This window comes from Homo sapiens, chromosome 4 (genome assembly GCF_000001405.40).
Source record: "Homo sapiens chromosome 4, GRCh38.p14 Primary Assembly".
Classification (NCBI taxonomy): Eukaryota; Metazoa; Chordata; class Mammalia; order Primates; family Hominidae; genus Homo; species Homo sapiens.
Window position 1 is genome coordinate 68,309,374 of NC_000004.12, and position 20,428 is coordinate 68,329,801.

The 20,428-nt window shown below is 35.2% G+C and overlaps 1 protein-coding gene across 4 annotated transcripts in view; it reads right to left on the minus strand.

Moving 5' to 3' along the window:
* Positions 1–1,013: 1,013 nt before the first annotated feature.
* Positions 1,014–20,428, minus strand: part of YTHDC1 (YTH N6-methyladenosine RNA binding protein C1) — a 39,704-nt gene continuing 20,289 nt past the window's right edge. For 2 of the 4 annotated variants that reach the window (NM_133370.4, NM_001031732.4), the window contains 8 exons: positions 14,766–14,850; positions 13,376–13,542; positions 10,750–10,832; positions 9,453–9,489; positions 9,317–9,356; positions 9,146–9,208; positions 6,941–7,075; positions 1,014–4,950 (listed from right to left, as the gene is read on the minus strand). In NM_133370.4, the coding sequence (NP_588611.2) occupies positions 4,726–4,950; positions 6,941–7,075; positions 9,146–9,208; positions 9,317–9,356; positions 9,453–9,489; positions 10,750–10,832; positions 13,376–13,542; positions 14,766–14,850 (835 nt within the window). In that variant the 3' untranslated portion in view covers positions 1,014–4,725. Of the gene's footprint in view, positions 4,951–6,940; positions 7,076–9,145; positions 9,209–9,316; positions 9,381–9,452; positions 9,490–10,749; positions 10,833–13,375; positions 13,543–14,765; positions 14,851–20,428 lie in introns of all 4 variants that reach the window. The other 2 variants (XM_005265708.4, NM_001330698.2) reach the window with 1 other exon arrangement.

The window sequence follows — 20,428 nt, forward strand, 5'->3', positions numbered from 1 at the left end:
ATGTCATCTTGATGAATTGGCCGCTTTATCATTAATGACCATCTTTGTTTTTGTAACAGCTTTTACCTTGAAGTTTCTTTTATCTAATGTATATTACGCCATCCCTGCTCTTTTTTGGTTACTATTTGTATGGATTTTCCCATTCTTATACTTCCAACTTTTGTGTGTTCTGGAAGCTGAAGTGGGTCTCTTTTAGGCAGCTCAGTTACATTGTTTTTTAATCCATTCAACCACTCTTTACTGGATAATTTAATTCATTTAAAATCAAGGTTATTATTGATAGGTAAGGACCTATTTTGCCATTTTAAAATTGTTTTCTAGTTGTTTTGTAGATTCTTTGTTCATTTCGTCCTCTCTTGTTGTTTACCTTTGTGATATGGTAATTTTCTGTAGTGCTAATAAGCTTTGTCCTTTATCATTGTTTGTGTATCTGTTGTAATTTTTTGGTTTGTGGTTACCATGGGCTTACATAAAATGTTACAGTTGTAATACACTATTTTAAGCTGGTAACAACACAGATCATATAGAATTATTCTAGATTTTTACCCTCTTCCCAACAATTTATATTTTTGTTGCCATAACTTACTTTTTTTTTTTTTTTTTGAGACGGACTCTTGCTTTGTCGCCCAGGCTGGAAGGCAATGGCACAATCTTGGTTCACTGCAACATCTGCCTCCCGGGTTCAGGCGATTCTCCTGCCTCAGCCTCTTGAGTACCTGGGATTACAGGCATGCGCCACCATGCCCCACTAATTTTTGTGTTTTTAGTAGAGGAGGGGTGTCACTATGTTGGCCAGGATGGTCTTGAATGCCTGACCTCAGGTGATCCACCCATCTTGGCCTCCCAAAGTGTTGGGATTACAGGCGTGAGCCACTGCACCCAGTCTTACATTTTTTTACATTGTATATTCCTTAGCTTTTCAGAGCTATTATTTTTGACTGTCTTTCAAATCTCCAGTATGAAGGTTACAAATGAAAATATTTAATAGTCAATAGTCTGTGTTTAAGACATAGTAGTATTTAAGATACATTTAATGTATTTATTAGTATTTAAGACAATAGTCAATAATCTATATTTAAGACACAGAAGAAACTGAAAGTGTAAGATTTAGAAACAAGAGAATCCCCACCCCAAAAAATTAGAGATTAAATGATCTACATGATAGATAACAGAATACTATGCATGGATTGCTTATACTCTAAGGATTCCTATTCCTACTATAAGGAACTTGGGGACTAAACTTGAGCCAGTTCTTTCCTGTGTGCCTCAATTTTAATATGTGTTTCAAACTGCATTTGGAATGTTTCCTACCCAAATAACAAAATCTTAAACATGAAGCTAAAATTATCCATGTGTGTCACAGTCACCCTTACGTTGGGTCAGGGAACTCTAGCTTGGTCAGTTAACTGCTGGCAACAGTTCCTTCTTCAATTCCATGCCCCTGAGGACTCTTAATGGTTAACATTATGACAAGACAGGATGTATGTGACCCTCAGAAAGACCACGACATTCTACAGCAGAATGTAGATATATCCAAGGGCAAGATGCCACACCTGTGATGGCAAAATACTCTGAAAAGTCAAACATTCAGGTGTTATAACTTGTATGAGATCCTGATTTAATGGACATCTGCTAAATTTCCTCTGTCCATGTCTTTTGGAGACTGTCCTTCCTGATGTAATCCTCACAGAGGTGACCATAACATGTGCCTCTCTTGCTTCCCAATGCTGGGAGACAAAGAACCCCATTTCCTTGGAAATACAGATTGGATTACGGCTGGCTCCAAAACCAACATGGCTATTCAGTCCTTTTGGGGAACTGACATGGACACTGGGAGGAAAATAGTCTCTCTCCTGCCACTGAAACTACATGGACAATGGAAGCTTGGAGATAATGGCCATTTTCTGAAAAATTAGACCATGCTTGAAAAAAAGCCATTATGGAGGAAATCATTATGGAGGAAATCAAATCCAAAAATTACATGCTTGAATTTTCACTCCTTTGAACTATTACTCCAGCCAATAAAATCCCTGACCGGATTTCTAAACTCGGAATGACTGAATTTTCTGTTTTTCATCTGAACACATCATACTAATGTAGATTGTTAGAATCACAGCACAGTGGAGTACACGAAAGAAACCATGTCTTCTCACAGTGACAAAAGCTGTCATGTGTACGAATATTAAATAAAACATACTGATTTTTATATACTGACTCTTCTGTACAGAAAAAAATCTTGCATTTTTTATACAATGTTCCGGTAAGTTTATTTTAAAAATTAGGAAAGGAGAAAACAGTGATGATTATGTGAGCCAACAGAATTGTTTAGAATAGTGCCAGATACTTGGTAAAAACTTAATGTTGGCTTTTTAAAATAGATCGACTCAATACTAAGCTCAACATACAAAGCATAACTTAACATCTAATTGGATGGCACTTTAGAAAAATCCTCTGCTTAAGCCTGAAGGAAATGTTAATGTTTAAAAATCTCAGGCCAGGTGCAGTGGCTCACGCCTGTAATCCCAACACTTTAGGAGGCTGAGGCAGGTGAGGTCACTTGAGGTCGAGTTTGAGACCAGCCTGGCCAACATGTTGGAACCCCATCTCTACTAAAATTACAAAAATTAGCGGGGTGTGGTGGTGGGTGCCTGTAGTCCCAGCCATTCGGGAGGCTGAGGCAGGAGGTTGCAGTGAGCCAAGATCATGCCACTGCCCTCCACCTGGGCGACAGACTCCATCTCCAAAACATTTATTAATTTATATACTGTTTTTTCAAAAGTGATGAGGTGGTTTAGAAACACCAAATAAAAACATGGGTAAAATCTTGGCCCATCAATTACTACCTTTCTAATCTTGGGCAAGTTTACTAGCCTCTCTGAGCCCATTTAAATGAGTCTGTATATAAAAGCACAAAGTCTCTATTGCATACAAAGTGCTCAGTATTTATTCCTATTATTTCAGGAAAATACCTTTAATATTACCTACCAGTTTTGTATAATGGTTACAGAAATTCTTAAACTGTAGCTATCATCTTGTCTAGCTTACTGATGAATACACAAAATGCCAATGAAGTGACTTACCATGTATCACTAACCGGTTTAATTAAAGACAATGACAAAACTAGAACCCAGGTTTCCTTAAAAGTACTTTTTCCTCTCTACCACAATGCAGATTTAAAACAAATCCTCAGGCTTTAGTTTTGTCATTGTAAATAAAACTTCTGTGAATGCAGGGAAAGATACTACATGCTGGTATGAATATGAATGCAGTATAACTATAGTTTATTATATCCTTTAAGAGTAAAGTGCCTGTGTTGTTCTTTTCAGGCCAATATAGATTAAATGTAAAACTGTACTATGTGATCTGGTACACAGTACAACTGTTGATACTATAAAAAAATCAAACATTCAAATATTCCTAATGTTTATAAAGGCCAAATTCCAAAGGCCAAAACTCCAGGTGTAACTCAAGAAAAAATTCAAAAAAATTATTTCATAAACTGTTTTCTTGAGCGGCTCTATTTCTATGTTATAGTTGGTTACCACTGGGAGAACTGGACAGTTAACTTAAAATACAGAACTAATACAAGAGGGTTAAAAGTCCATTTATGAAGTAAAGTAGAAAGCATGTACAAAGTCGTTCACTTACAGAAGACTAAAACAACAAATAGAAAACCTAAATAAACGATTCTGTGATCAGAGTAGACTCAAAATGTTATCAGGTGTATAAATACTTAACCAAATTATTAACATAACTCTGTGTATCTTATGTTAGAAATAGAAGTAAGCTTTTAATGCAACAGGCCTAGGTCAATCATTTCTGCTAAAGTGTGCCTCAAAAAAAGCAAATGGGGTTCCTAAAATTCCTGAACAAAAAGCATGCTTTTATGTCCATTATTGCATAATAAAACAAACCTGCAATTGGATAAGAAAAAGATACAAAAGATAACCGTCAATCTTTACCAATTTATTTTATACAAAACAGTAGCAATGTAGAATATGGGAATCGTCTTCCGCTGCCACGCACGCAAGTTGTGAACATTCCAAGCCAATGTATACAATTTGGAGGGGAAGGCTAAACAATAGCATCAACCACGCTACTGAACATAGGAATTTTTCATTTAAAAAGATTAAAAATTAGATAGCAATGTCTTCTTAATATTGCTCTCGTCATTGAAGACTGAGGAAAAATAAAAAGTGACTTTATAAGTTTTTTAAAAAAAGAGGCAATGGGGAAAAAAACAAGAGGCTGCTACAACACTGCCATACAGTCAAACCATCATACTTCAATATTTGCATACTCGATAGCAGCATTATTTTTACTGAACCGTGTGCAACTACATGTAGAAACACATCAAAGCAAAATATCATGGCAGTTATCAATCAAGATCCAAAAAGGAAAAAAACAAACAAAAAAATAACTCTAGGATGAACACACTATAAGAACATTTATGGAGAAAGAATCAGTATCTACATTCTTGGACTGTTCCATTCTGCCCCAATAAAAGTGTCAATTCAACTGTCAGCTGTGGATTTTTGGCGGATTTGAGTTTTTCCAGTTCTTATGATACTGCATGCTTGGAACAAAGGGGGTCATAATAAATCCTTCTACACAATGAACTTCATAGGCAGACAGCTGAAAATAAATTTACTACTTGTAAACACACACAAAAAAAAAATACAAGATTTTTTGTATCTTTAAACAATCAGTGCTTCCAAAAGCCCATTATCTTCTATATCGACCTCTCTCCCCTCGGTCTCTGTCTCGATCACATAATCGCTCTCTTTCTCTTTCTCTATCACGTCCTCTATCTCGCTCTCTGTCTCGTCTGTTATCTCTAGGGCGGTCTCGCTCTCGTTCCCGGTCTCTTTCACGGGGTCTACTTCTCCGGCCACTGACAACAGCTTGTGTGCGACGAAGGAAATCATCCACCCTCATATCATAATCATGCTAGAAAAGGAAAGAAATGTGTTAGGTATGTCAAAAAGGCAAATAGTGTTAAGTGGATCCCTGATTTGAAAAAAAAATTTATATAAACAATTTTAAAATATAAAAAAAGAAAAGTCTCTGTATTATAATCGGCGGAGAGAACAATCCAAAGAAATGCAATAATAAATTAATTCACAGAAGGTAATATGCTGACATGGTTTAGAAAAAGGATGATGCCTCATTAGACATCTACAACAGATTATTCAAATCTCTTTATGCAGTTTTCCACTTAACTTTAATGACTTTTCCATCTGATCCCTTCAGTAAGATTTAGGCCAAAGATATTAACTAGTGATGACCTTCAACTATTATCCATATATACTGCCAATTATGCTAAATGTCATCAATGTTTTTCTGGCACAGGCTAGCTCTACATTTTTCCTCCAATTCTACCAACTTCAATTTTACAAACTGAGTATTATGTTCCAGATTTTCTTTCAAACTAAATTGTTACAACTAAGTTGATGTGCAAGAAAAGTTGTGGCTGCTCCTAAACTTGGCCCCTGCTCTAGTTTAAACTTTCTACTCTTAGTTCTCAGCTTACCTTACTGATTTTGGTCTTCTCTCAAAACTTAGCTGAAATAAGATTTGAAAACACAGTCCCACATTACCTTTTATATATGTGATTATGTAAGTAGAGAATATGTATACTAACCAAAAAATCACTACATAAAGATCCATAAAATAGAACTTGTTAAAAAGGATATAGTTGAGGAAAACAAAAAAATCTCAGACTTCCTATTTTAAAAGCCATGTGATCAGTTATGGGAATTTTTAAGACACCACAACCCATCTAGTCAACTAAGATTTCATTATAGATAGACTGTATATTTCTTTCTTGTGTGCTTAACTGAAAATAAACTACTAATTTAAAGTTTGTGAATTAGTTAACTAGTACTCTCAAATTATTTTACAGAATGTTAGAAGTCATGATAAGATTTGATTTAGAGAAAATTACTATCTTTATAAGGAAATTACTGACAACACAAAAAAATGTCTCAAAGATAGGCTAGAAAGCTGCTCTGATTCTCACAAATAGGCCCACTCTTCATCTTAAGTGGGAAAATAAAAAGATGTTTATTTGGCCCCATACAGACTCATCAACCTAAGTAGGGAGTGGAAAAAAATTCTAACTTGCATATCCTACTTAGTTTAACAACAAAACTACCTTTCTAAGGCTATCAAACTTATATGCATATGAATTATGCTTCCAACACTTGCCAGAAGACAATTCTGCTTTATAAATAAAAGTACTATTGGGGGGGGTGGGGAAGCATTTAATAAACTCAGCCCCACTAGTTAAAAACCCAGAAAACTCAAACTAAAACTAGAGTCTTTTTTTCACTGGTCCTGTTTTGAAGCCATCAAAAAAAGCTTTCACATCAATCTTATCAAATAATTAACAGAATCAATGAATAAAGGACATGTCTGCTACATATCATAACATCTGGTTATTCTTTGCTAACATCACAATAACCAGAGGTAAAACAATTTATCAGTTACTAGCTTTAACATTTGGTAGAAATAAAAACAAATGACTAAATGAGATTACAGCTTATCAGCTAACTTAATATACACGATCTATCCTAGAAAAATTGAGTAAGAATACACAAAAAGTTCAGAAATATCTATTAACAATATTAATTACATAGCATAATTAAGATCTCAATATGGAAAGAACATAGCCTAGGTACTACCTAAAAGGAGTTCTATTTGTAGGCGTTTGCCTTAAGCAGTTTGTGATTTGATCAGTAAAAGAAATATATTCTATCTATATAATCCAAAGGGGCATAATCAGGCATTTTTAATAAAAACAAACAATTATTCCAAAACAGTCTGCAGTAAGAATATGCAATGGTCCGTCAATCATCATACTCTGGTCTCCCCATATTTAAGTTACCTACAGAATTCTAAGTAGTTCCCTCACACCTTTGCCTCCTTGTGCACTTACTACTCGTTTATCTCTGTATCTTGCTTCATGTGGTACTGGATGATGTCCTGAGTAAGGGGGATGAGCTTGAGGAGGTGGAGCATGGTGCTGATAGTAAGGATGGTGTGGAGGTTGTTCCATTCCTGGGTAAGGGGGCTAAAAAAGGAAAACCATTTACATTAAGAATCTACCAACACCCTTGTAAACAAGCGATTCTTAGAACCCTTCATCCAAAACACCAATCCCAAACAAGTGAATCTGTACTAGACATTTACTTTGATGGCATTAAGGTGTTTCAAAATATGCTTTTTGTCGAAAATTACACATCTTCTAAGATTTAACATGTTTATGCTTTTCTACTCCTATCATATAAATAACAATGGAAATAGCAAACACTTACATGGTGCTTACTGTGAGCCAGGCATTGTTCTAAGCACTTTACTAGTCTCATTTAATTCTCACAGCAACCTTATGAGATAGATACTATTGTTCCCAGTTTACAAAAGGGAAAACTGAAGCAACAAGGAGTTAAGTAACCTGCTTATAGTCACACTACTGTTAAAGTGGTGAAGCAGGCATACGGCATCAGGCATCCTAGTTCTGCAGTTGGTAAACTGGTTAACCACTTTGTATGTATCTGTTCTTAGAAACATCAACAGGCCTGGTGTGGTGGCTCACGCCCATATCCCAGTGCTTTGGGAGGCTGAGGGAAAAGAATCCCTTAAGCCAGGAGTTGGAGACCAGCTTGGGTAACAGAGTGAGACCTTGTCTCTATAAAAAAATTAGCCAGGCACAGTGGCATGTGCCTGTAGTCCCACCTACTCAGGAAGCTGAGGCAGCAGGACCACTTGTGCCCAGGAGTTCAAGGCTGCACAGAGCTATCATCACACCACTGCATTCCAGCCTGGGAGACCGAATGAGACCCTGTCTCTCAAAAAAAAAGTCCAGGAGCAAATTAACTTTTAAATGCCATTTAAAAAATGAATAAAGGGTAAATTAAAGATTACTTTCATAGTTACTATCAAGATCATATATTATTAAATTTTTAAAATTTCCTAGAATCTAAAGGGGAAAAGTCTCATAATCATCTGCATATAATAGTATAAAACTGTATACCTTAAAAGTGAAACAAAAGTCAGATGAAGAGGCCATATAACATATTGCATTTAAAAAAAGACATAAATTAAAATGTAAGAAAACAGTAGAAGCTACTTCAACTTCCAGGTTTTTATTTCTTGAAAATTAATGCTTCAGCTATCTTCAATATCTTAAAATATACTCTAAGACAATTCAGTTTTCTTAAAGGAAATAATTAAAAAGCAGGAATAATCAGGGTTTAATTAATCTTATTTTACACAGAAAATTTAGTGAGTATTAGATCAGGCACTATGCTAAACTTAACATGTACTTTGTAAATTTATCTTGACAATGAAAATGACACTACTACATTAAATTTTAAGCTATACCAGGACAGTCATGATGTCAATTTCATTCACCATGATATAATCAGAACAAGCACAGTGCCTTGCACAGAGTAAGTACTAAATATTATATTTGATAAGACAAAGCATCAGTGAATGCCCATGGAATTTTACAGATGAGGAAAACTAAGAGTTGTATTAAGAAATTAACCCAAAGTCACAGAGTTGGGAAGAAAAAGAAATATATCTGAACCCAAGCGGACTTTGCACTACTAATTACTACCATAATACACTATTACAGTTCTCAAGCCTGTACTATTAACACAAATGAGCTTTTAGTCTTTAGTTTGAAAGACAGCATACAATTATTTATCATCAAAAATCTGTATTTTAAGTCTTTTTGAGATGGAGTCTCCCTCTGTTGCCCAGGCTGGAGTGCAGTGGCGCAATCTCGGCTCACTGTAACCTCTGCCTCCTGGGTTGAAGCAATTCTCCTGCCTCAGCCTCCCCGAGTAGCTGGGAGTACAGGCACACGCCACCACACCCAGCTAATGTTTTTTGTATTTTTAGTAGAGACAAGGTTTCAGTTTCACCGTGTTGGCCAGGCTGGTCTCGAACTCTTCACCTCAGGTGATCTAGCCGCCTCAGCCTCCCAAAGTGCTGGGACTGCAGGTGTGAGCCACGGCGCCTGGCCAGTTTAAGTCTCTTTAATGAGTAACTGTAACAATCATATTCCGAGTAAGCACCTGAAATACTAGAACTGCAAATTAAGTTATGTAACTTATAAAAATAGAATAATACAAACCATTCCTTGCCAAGGTGGTGGTGGTCCCATGTTATGAAATTCCCTCACATAATCATTGTAGGACTAAAATAAAAGATGATAATGTCAATATAATTAAAAATTATCACAGAACTGCAAAATAAATCAGAGCCTGATTTTATCCACATTAAATAGATAAAATGAAATGCTTACCCCATTTAAAAACACATCTCGGCGAACTCCTGAAAATCGTCTGTTGGGAATAAGATTTGTGAAACTAAATTCAGGTAATTCATAAACTAGTTCCAAGAATGTAATTCAAAACTAGGCAAGAGTGAACCCGACTTACCTGTCCACTTCCTGGTATCGTGGATCCTTTAAATACCCTGTTCAAACATCAAGCATTTTAGTAAATCAAATTTATATTTTTCTTTTATGGCATTATAATTAAACCTTCCTTACCACTCGTTTCAATTCTTTCCATGAAATATGTACTTTAAGTGATGCTACTACTGTATTATCCCATTTTCAAATTTTCTTCTCAGATTACATGATAATCTAGGAAATAACTAATGATATCATAGAATTGTAAACTGCTAGAGAAGCTTTCAGATAGGTATCTTCTATGTTCACACTCCAAATCTTGCTAATCAGAAAATTTCTTCCTTCTGCTTCACAGGGAAGGTAAGGGCAGAGGAACTATCTTGAGCACACTATGACAGGACTTCCTTAAAACAAATGTTTACTTTCCACCTTGGGTATATGTAGGTCTTACCAAGAAAACCACAGATAAGCTTTTTAAAATGTAAACTTAAGGGGGAGGGGGAAAAAATTGCAAAAGTTGCAAAAATGAAGATGTATACACTGAAAATGAAAAATCGATGGTGGTTAGAAAAATATTCTTTCCCCTGCTTCTTTTAATAAGAACCCAACAAATTAAAATGTAAAAACATTTGAGTAGTCATGTTACTGGGGAAAAACTATTTTCACTTTCTACAACAGGACAACCTATTTTGGAAGAATGAGGCTAATCAAGCCACTTGTTACATAATAGTGCTATAATGATCACTAACATCAATCTCCTAACTGCCTAAGTTTCACAAGTGTATCACTGACTCTCTTCAAATACATGATATCCCTTCTTGAATATAGTTTGCTCTCTTAAATTTCAGTAAGGGATAGATTAATTGAAAAGCTACATTTAGATTACATACCGAGTATTTCCCATTCCTCTCCAAAGACATAAAGATTTTTATTTAAAAAAAGTAGCATTGTATGTATATGTATCACATGAAACACTAACTACCATAGGGAACAAAAAGCCTGATAGAATATAAGGTTATTGCTTTTCATAACTACTTTTAACCTTAAACACATGTGCAGATAAGTTTCCATTTTTGCAAAATTAGCAATTTCAGGTAATTCATAGGGTATGATGAGTTACACTGGAATAGACTAGACAACCTTAACGAAGTTAAGGGAAGAATTACACTAATGAGAACTACTAAAATTTCTCAAGATTTAAGTAGTCAGGTCCTGAATTTTTTTCACTTTTAAAACTGCAGGATTGTGAGGGTTGTTTTTAATTTTTTAATTTTTTTCCAATAATTTGAAATCAAATATCTGCAGGATTATAAAATATTAACCTGGTCTCTGGTGAAACTCAGGGGGATAGTCAATCCTTGGTTTCTTTCTGCTGTTATGAATATCATAATCTTCTGGTCGACGCCTACACAAATTAGACACATTAGAAATTAAACCAAAAACTGCTGGGAGAACAAAGAGTAAAGCAAGAGTTTCTGACAGAGATAAGTACAAAGAATAACCCATTATTTAACATCTTAATTTTTTTAGTGAGCAAATTATTTTAAAATTCCTACATTTTGATTCTCAAATTAATTCCTATAAACCAAACTTTAAATGTACTGCTGGAAGTAGATATTCTCTGCCAACTCATGCTATGATGAGAAAATTGCAGACTAGTCCAATCAAAACATGTAAGTCACATTTTAGTAGTCTAAACAAAAGTAAACAAAGTCATTCTCAAACTAAATATCAGTTTTAACAATTAAAACACTTTCCCAAATAAAGTCTCCATTCAGATGAAAAATAAAAACTAGAAAAACCTATCATCATTGTACAATATGTAACTCTAAAATCTGCATATTTAAAACTTATAAATGTCATTTTAGGTTAAGTCTAAACAAAATTAAGAATTTATTTTTCCTCTGCTTTGCACAAATTATGAATTTTACATGATCATACAGAAAATTTGATACTTATTAAAAGCAACTTTACAGGAAAGTTTTTAAAATCTTAATAGTTAAAAAACTATTTCTTAATAATCCTTAGTAACATTTAGTTTTTCTTTCTACATCTAATGACATTTAAGAATTAAGGGAATTTTTTTTTTCCAGAGACAATGCCTTGTAATAAAATAGGCTTTTATAAATTGGCAAGTAATGGGTCAGAATTTTAACAGAGTTCATAAAACTAATTCAAAATATATTCTTTAGAAGGTGAAACTTTACTGACTACAGAGGGCTGTTCTTTACTGTCTTCCATAAATCGGGTTAACTTAACACATCATTAAATACACTTCAATTTACTTAGCAGCTAATAAAGAGTTAAACAAAAAAAAAGTCCAAAATATTTAGAAAATAAATATATCTTTTTAACCTTAATGTCAAATAAAAACTTGATAACAACCTAGCATTCACTAGTTTTCAGCTATTTGTCTGAGTACCAACTGCTTTCATTAACTTTTTCAACACAGTTCACTCAAACTGCAAAGTTAAGTGCAATAATCCCAAGCCCCCCAACAGAATAAAAACAGTTGCATCTACAATAAATAATACTAAGAAAATTAAAAGCTGGTTTAAAAAATAAACATACCGCTTTCCTGTAGTTTGGGGAGTGCATTTACGACCGGTATAAAACATGATAGTAACAGTTCATATAGTAGTCCAACTACTGACTTTAAGCTGTAAGCCACATACATAAATGGAGGCCCTGGCAGGCTTGAGAGAAGGTGTAGTGGTGTAATAAGTATAGTTTGCAGTCCATTGCAAAACTGAGGTAAAAACTTCACTTGTATATATTGTATTGCACTGGAAACCTCTTAGCTTAAAACTTCAAAAGACATCTTGGTGCTCAGTCCTTTTAGGCCAAAAATAAGGGGCTCTGCCAGGTTTCCTCCTACCTACTCGACAGTGTCCTTTTTAAGCTCAAAGAAATGGGGACTCTTGTTGGATTATCTGTACCTACCACAGGATGTCTCCACCAAAAGGAAATTTAATCAAAGGTTTCATCCCATCAACCATACATCCAATAGTCTTTAGCAGAATATTTTAGATTTAGCTGTATGCAAATCTACACAGGGGAAGGTGTTGGGTAGAAGGGCTTAAATCAGTCCTTTGCAAAGACTTCTCCAATTCTGTAACAAGTTAAACCCCCTTTTTCTGGAAAATGCTGTTTAGTTCATAAAGTAGTGATCAATAACCATGGCGATCCTCTAAAAAACACTTTTAAGTCCACAGGTACTGCCAGCATCTGGAAAAGTTGTAAACAGACACAGCAACAGCCCTTCTTTTTGGTTTGTTGCCGGGTCTCCCAGGGCCACTTGATCCCCTTTGGAAAGAACCTATTGTTTTCAGAAGCTCAGCAAGATGTGTGAATTCACTGGGTACATGTTAGAGAATATTTGGCAATAGGGTTAACACATCACGGTGATAAAATCTGAAACAGTCCCAATAATGCTCCTCTTGAATATCAAAATAACTTAAAATATTTTATCCTCTAAATGAGGCGTCATCTTCTGAAAAAATATTAGTGATCCTTTATAAAAGTCCCATATCTGATAAGGCTTATCCAGAGACATACCTGAAAGAAAAGGCTTTTTAAAAAGTATTAACAATTTTTGCAAATAAAGACTTCCTCCTCTTCCTCCTTTCTAGCCTGTTCTTAGCAACAAATGCCTACCTCATTTCAATTGTATACATTGTATTATCAGAGTATTATCTAATCTAAACTGGTTATCACTGGTTATACTTTTTTCTGCATAAGGAAAGATCCCCATTTTCCTCTTGAAAAATGACTGAGACCAAGGTGACCATGTGAAATCCTCAATGAAGCCACAAACTAGTCCATGCAGCTTGATTTGAGGATTTTCTCTTTCTTCTTTACCGCAGGACAAACTTTTGACGAATCATATTCCTCCATCATGTTATTCTGATACATGTGCCTATTATCAGTCCAAAGAACGTTTCTAACCTTCCCACATCCCGGACTGGTTCTCGACGGGATGGACGTCCTCGTGATCGGGGCTGAGAATGCATTCTTCTCTTGTGACGCATTTTATGAATGACCTGATACAAGTCAATACTTTCATCGGGGGGAAACAGAAGACAAAGCTGGGTTCCACATTCAAGTTCAATTTCCTAGAATAGGAAAGTAGCAATTTATAAAACAAAAACAGACCCTTTCAACAGACTTGCATTTTCCTGATGTACCAGAACAAAAACTGACTTGGAAGCTTTCTTCCCAAGGCTGATGATCATATGGGATTCCAATAAGACTTCCAGATTTATAAAACATTTAAAAAGTGTTTTGTGTATTTATATAAAGGGTAAAAACTAAAAGTGTAGAATCTCTGAAGTTAAATACACAAATGCAGTTGCTTAAAATTCTGTGACAACCACCCTCTGAAAAGGGACTATTTCTTTGTGCAAAATAGAAAAATATCAGGACAAGGTCATTTAATACAATGGAAAAAAAAAATTCATGTTAGTGTGTGTACCAACAACTTTGATAATTATGATCTACTAAGTGTATTGAAATACATTAGATTTACCACAAAGGCAGACCAATCTATGGGCTCTTTAAAATTAAATCATTTTCAGCTATTTGTAATTGAAAAAGTGAAAACATTTTTACTCATGAGCAATAAAATGTCATATTACTTTTGCATGGCCAGGCATAGTGGCTCATGCCTGTAATTCCAGCACTTTGGGAGCCCCAGGCAGGCGGATCGCTTGAGGCCAGGAGTTTGAGACCAGCCTCGCAAAATGGTGAAACCCTGTCTCGACCGAAAATACAAAAATTAGCCACTCTCGTAACCTGGTTTCCAAAAAAATTAAAATTAAAAAATAAAATAAAACAAAACTTCTGGTTCAGAATTACATGTGAGAATTACAAGGGTCAAAGAAAGGTTTTGGTTAATTTTCAATTACTCCACATTTTCAGTTCCATTTGTAGACTTGAAAACCTGAGTACATATATTTAATCTTTTCAGAAAGCTGCTTTCTACTCAGAAAACTAGCACATATACTAAACGGCAATTCTAAAATGTATTACAGAAACTGAAGAATCTGTTAAACAGTGATAATATAGTCAAAACAAATTTAAATCTGGCAAATTCTCTTTAGAAATATTTCCTTCAATTGTATCAAATGAAAGTACCATATAAAGCTGCCTATATTTCAACATTAATGGATGTCTTATTAGTCTCAATCACAGTTATTATAAACTTCAGATAAGATTATTTTTTCAAATTCTCACGTGGTCTCTTTCATCAGAAACGGTTAAAACGAATACATCAATAAAGATCTCTAAAAGGGTTGATTAAATGTGTTTTTTTAAAGAATCAATTAAGGCCACAAACCTGTCCATCACGTCCGATCTTTACTGGTTTATGTTCATTCCAAGGATTGGTGAGATGAGCCGACTTAGTGAAGGGTAATTCACGCCTAAATACAAAGTAATATCAATTACATTCTTCTGCAGAATCCTTTAAGGACCTTATACTACTTTTAGTAGTGAATTCCTGTATTAACTGTGACTTAAATGTGACTAAATTTTAAAAACCACTTACAGTGGTTAATTCCCTATAGAAAGCCTCTTCAGAGACTTTTTCCATATTCTCCAGTTTTCTAAAAAAGAGCTTAAGAGCAAGGGCTTGAGAACCAAGATAACTTGGGGCTTAAACCCCAGCCTGCTCTCTTCTCTGAGCCTGAATCTATTTCTTTGATAAACAAGAATATCACCATCTACTTTATAGTTGTTTTACGCAGTTTGCAAATGAAATGACACAGAAAATATTTAGTATATCCCTTTCTTCTATGAACTCAAAAAACTTAAAAACTGACCAAAAAGAAGCTGGACCTTAACCCAGCTGTTAAAACCAAATGAAAATAGAAGTGTCCCTTATTCTCATTTGGAGGGTGCTTTCCCTGTTCAAGTGTACTTCCTCATTCAATATGGCAATACTCTTCACTACGCATAGAATGGCTTGAGTTGTACAATAGATAATTTATTTATAAATGCATATATTTATATTAATTATGCCCTTTACTGAAACTCAAGGGCAGTATCTATATAATTTAAATACTAAAAACCTGGTTTTAAGATCTCTAAGCCATGACAAAATGGTCTCACCAAACTTAAAAAGATATCCTCTATTTTTATAGTTCTTTGTCAACCTAGCACAATGTCACATGAATACAAAGATGACACATAACCAACAGTTGTTAGCTGCCAAGAAATAATTGTAAATTAACACTATTTGATAAGGTTTTATCTGCCTGTGCATAAAACAAATAATGCCAAAATAAATAAACACTTTAAAGAACTATTCACTGTACTTACAATACAAATGAAACTGTTCAGCCAAAGTACATACAAAGACGAGAAAGATAAGAGTTTGCATCCCTAACCTTTCTTCCATAGCCATCGAAGAAAAATAAGCACACACAATTTTCAAAGACAATGGGTACTATATGCACAATACAGAAGATTTTTTTTTTGTTTTTAATAGGAGTGGTTGTATCTATTTTGAAAGAAAGAAAAATAATCACAAAATGCTTCATGAAAGAAGTGGTACAAGAGTTAAGCTTGAAAGAAAACCCAGGTAAAGCCTTATGTAGAGAACTAAGGCAGGGATACATTTGAAACAAAGAGAAGGGCTAGAACACAGGCATAATGGAAAAGGGAAAACATAAGTAACTTTGCCCAGTGAACATGCCACATAACCTTACATGAATTTTCTTGAAAGTGAATATTGCCTGCTCAGACCTTTTTTTAAATTTAATTTTTTAGAGATTGGATCTATTTTGCCTTGGCTGATTGTGAATAAATGGGCTCAAGCAATCCTCTCACCTCAGCCTCCGAAAATGCTAGGATTACAGCTGTGAGCCACCACACCTGGCCTGAATGCTCAGATCTTATATAACTTGTTTTAAACCTCAGGAAAAACTTTGACATTTTCCAGGGAAATAGAAGTATTTTAGAGTTAAATTAACAAGGTGGTATATTCTGTGATGGAGGTGATATATATATACATGGAAGAGTGGTCAGTGAGTAATGAAAATATCCACTAAGTATCACTTAAAAGCTTGGTTTCTTTTTCTAATATACACCTTACTTCACCCATCAAGAGTGAGTCAAAAATACTGAATTTTTTTTCCCCCTTTTCAGGCTCTCAGAAGTAGAAAGACTAGAACAAGTCCACATCAAAGCTTGAATATCCAGAGGCAGAGATCTAGTTTTCTTTGTATTCTGTTGAATAATTTAAATTTTTCTTCTAATTGCCAGTTTAAAACAGTTATAGGAAAGGCATAAATGAAAACCTACAGCCACCAAAATATAAGAAGGTTATAAATTAATGGGATTATCACTGTTATTTAAATATCAGCAATTAAATACCCACGATCCAAGTAGAAGTAAAAGCATAGGCCAAGCTAAATGTATCATTTGGGGTTGAGATTCTTTGGTGGCACTGGTTCCAACTAGATTCAAGAGACATCTGTTCACTGTTTCAACACAGTTAATCTCAGCCAGAACATCACAGAAAACTGTGAAGCCTGAGGCAAAACAGGGCTCAGAATAAATTAAGAAAAATTGCAGGGTCTGTGATCCATGTAGCATCCTTATTTTATCCTTTCTTCTCAGATCACAATCATAGAACAAGCAACCTAACAGTTACCTTCTGAGCAGCTATGTTATGAAGCATACAGATACAACTTATCTTTACTGTGAGTTCTTTGAGAACATGTAAGGGACTCTCTGACCTAAGTGGTTCTGCAAATAGGGCAAATTTAACAAAGAATGTAAAACTGTGCACAGTTTTTTGTTTTGAGACACAGTCTCACTCTGTTACCCAGACTGGAGTGCAGCTGCATGATCTCGGCTTGCTGCAACCTCCGCCTCCTGAGTTCAAGGGATTCTCATGCCTCAGCCTCCCATGTAGCTGGGACTACAGGCATGCGCCACCACATCTGGCTAATTTTTGCATTTTTAGTAGAGACGGGGTTTCACCATGTTGGCCATGCTAGTCTCGAACTCCTGGCCTCAAGTGATGCACCCACCTCAGCCTCCCAAAGTGCTGGGATTACAGGCATGAACCACTGCGCCCAGCCATGCAGAGGCTCTTATATGCTGGACAGTGGTTTGTTGATTAAAGTTAAAAAGAAAAATGGAGGCCGGGCGCAGTGGCTCATGCCTGTAGTAATCCCAGCACTTTGGGAGGCTGAGGCGGGCGGATCACCTGAGGTCGGGAGTTCGAGACCAGCCTAACCAACATGGAGAAACCCCGTCTCTACTAAAAATAAAAAATTAGCCGGGCGTGGTGGCACATGCCTGTAATCCCAGCTACTAGGGAGGCTGAGGCAGAAGAATCGCTTGAACCCGGGAGGCGGAAGTTGTGGTGAGCCGAGATTGCGCCATTGCACTCTAGCCTGGGCAACAAGAGCGAAACTCCGTCTCAAAAGAAAAGAAAAGAAAAATGGAGAGACTCTAAATGAAAACAGAAATGGGTTGTTTGGAATGGACATGAAAGGAATATAACACCTAGTCAGTAAATGTAACTCTGGATGAATAGTATTTCATAGATCATGCCTTATTTTGAGCTAATTACAGGTGGCAACCTTAATAAGTCGCTTTTTATGCCTCCCTCTCTTTATCAGCTAAAACATGACACTTATCTGGTCCCAATCTTCCATGTGCCTACCAACTACCTGAACCATCAAGAATTTAACAGGTTTGAGGTGGGTTTCAAGATTCTGCATTTTAACAGTCAGATGCTACTGATGTAAGTGATCCAGGGATCACACCTAAAAAAGCTTAAGTCTAGTTATTATTATATCCAAAGGGTCCTTAAATATAAATCTAATAATTATTATATCTGCAAAAGAAAAAAATATTAACAGCAGTTACTGTTGATAGCAAAGTCCTGACCATTTCTATTTATTAAATTTAAATGTTCTGAGACTCAAATGTAATTCTCACTATATAGAGAGAATTTAAACTCAAGAGAGTTCAAGTGACTTATCTAAGGAAATATCAATGTTAGAAATATCACAAGCCCTCCAGAACTGTAAAGTATTGTAAAATTACACTTGAATAGAACTTGAGTATTAAAACATTAAAACTATAGTTTTATTATGTAAAAATACTATTTCTAGGTAAACCCATAAACTTACTTTAAAATAATAAAAGCACTTTACTGCCCACAATTTTACACCTCACGTTAGTAGGATAGACAAATTGAGTCTGTCTACCTCTTCGGTTGCTTGATACATTTCAAACAAATTAGTAGAATAGTCAATAAGTCAATGAAGAGGAATATGAAGAATGAATAATCCATGAAAAATTAAATTCATCTTAAAATTAAGAATTTCCTTATCAGTAATGTAAAAATGAAGGTTAACAGAACAAATAACATTTGAAACAAAATCTGCTGCAACCCACATAAAAATGGGCAATTATTTTCTCTCCTGTTCCCAAGAAAGCAACACCTGCAAATATGTTACATTACAACGTTTCCTCTGGCCTTTACAGAGCAGTCACATACACACACAAAATAAAAATAATCACTCCCTTTCCTACAAATTGTCACCAGATTTTCAACTTTAATTATAACTTAATTATAATTTTGATTTCAAAAAAACCAAGTTTATATTTTAAAACCCCTGGGGGCAACAGAGAGGAAGTGGGAGAAAGCACTAACAGTCTCACCACCTAACACTGCATTCCAATACCATAATTATGTATTTTTTCATTTGTTATACCTTTCCATGTTGATATGTGCACAATTACTTCCACATATATTTAAGAGACAAACTATAATTTAACTAATTTTCTATTTCAAAGAATTTAGATGATTTCCAACTCTTTCCCACAGAAAGTAATAATGGGATGAGTATTTTTTCTGCACATAGCTTTTTGCTACGCTATTATCAACCTAATACAGTTATGTGTCACTTAATGACAGGGATACACTCATTAGGTGATTTCATTGTGTGAACATCACAGAATGCACTTACACAAACCTAAATGGTATAGCCTACTACATACCTAGGATATATGGTATGACCTGTTTCTCCTAGCCTACAAATCTGCACAGCATGTTACTGTATTGAATAGTGTAGGTAAATGTAACACAATGGAAAATACTTGTGTATCTAAACATAGAAAAGGTATAGTAAAATATGGTATTATAGGTACCTCTTACGAGTCCTACAGTCTTATGGGACAAGATTCTTTGTTGATGGGTATGTCACTACACAGTAAGTGACTGTATGCTATTTGTAATATATCACTCCCTCTATCTTCACAGCTCCTCACTATCCTACAATAAACATTTAGGCTGACTCACATTCATTCATTCTTATCCATCTTTGCCCTCTGTTCTTCTCTTTTCCTAACCATCTCCTTCATAAAAAAAGGTAGCTCCCTATCCCACTCACACATCCATATGCCCTCCCACTGCTCCCCACAACCCTGCAACCCCATAGTTTGTTTCCATGCTCTTCTTGGCTTAGGCTGATTTCCATCATATGCATAGCATTTTTCTTCTTTTTCATCCGACCCCTTCAGGCTCATCAAGATCTAATACCCAAAAACAACTTAAAACTCACAAAGTAACCATCTCCTTTCAGACACTTTTTAACTAAAATTAATTTTACAGGTAATACATTTGTGTATGCCACGTAAAGATCACTTAAATAATGAGCTTCTTGTGTACAATACTTCAGTGTGCAGTAAGGACCTAAAAATAGTGACAACTCAGTGTTCAAAATAAGCCTGATTATTTTTCTAATAAATACAGTTAAATCTTAACTCAGTTTCAGAAGATCACAATGGCAACTAAACATCATTTGCTAACCTCCTTAAAAAATACTGTCCACGACTAAACTAGTTACCTCCGAAATTGTTAGCCAAGTCATAGTACTTATTTCCCATTCCTCAATAACTTAAGTGACATGTTAAATCACTAAAATTATACAGATACGCCAGACAACATTTCAAGCAACTGTCCAATTCATTTAC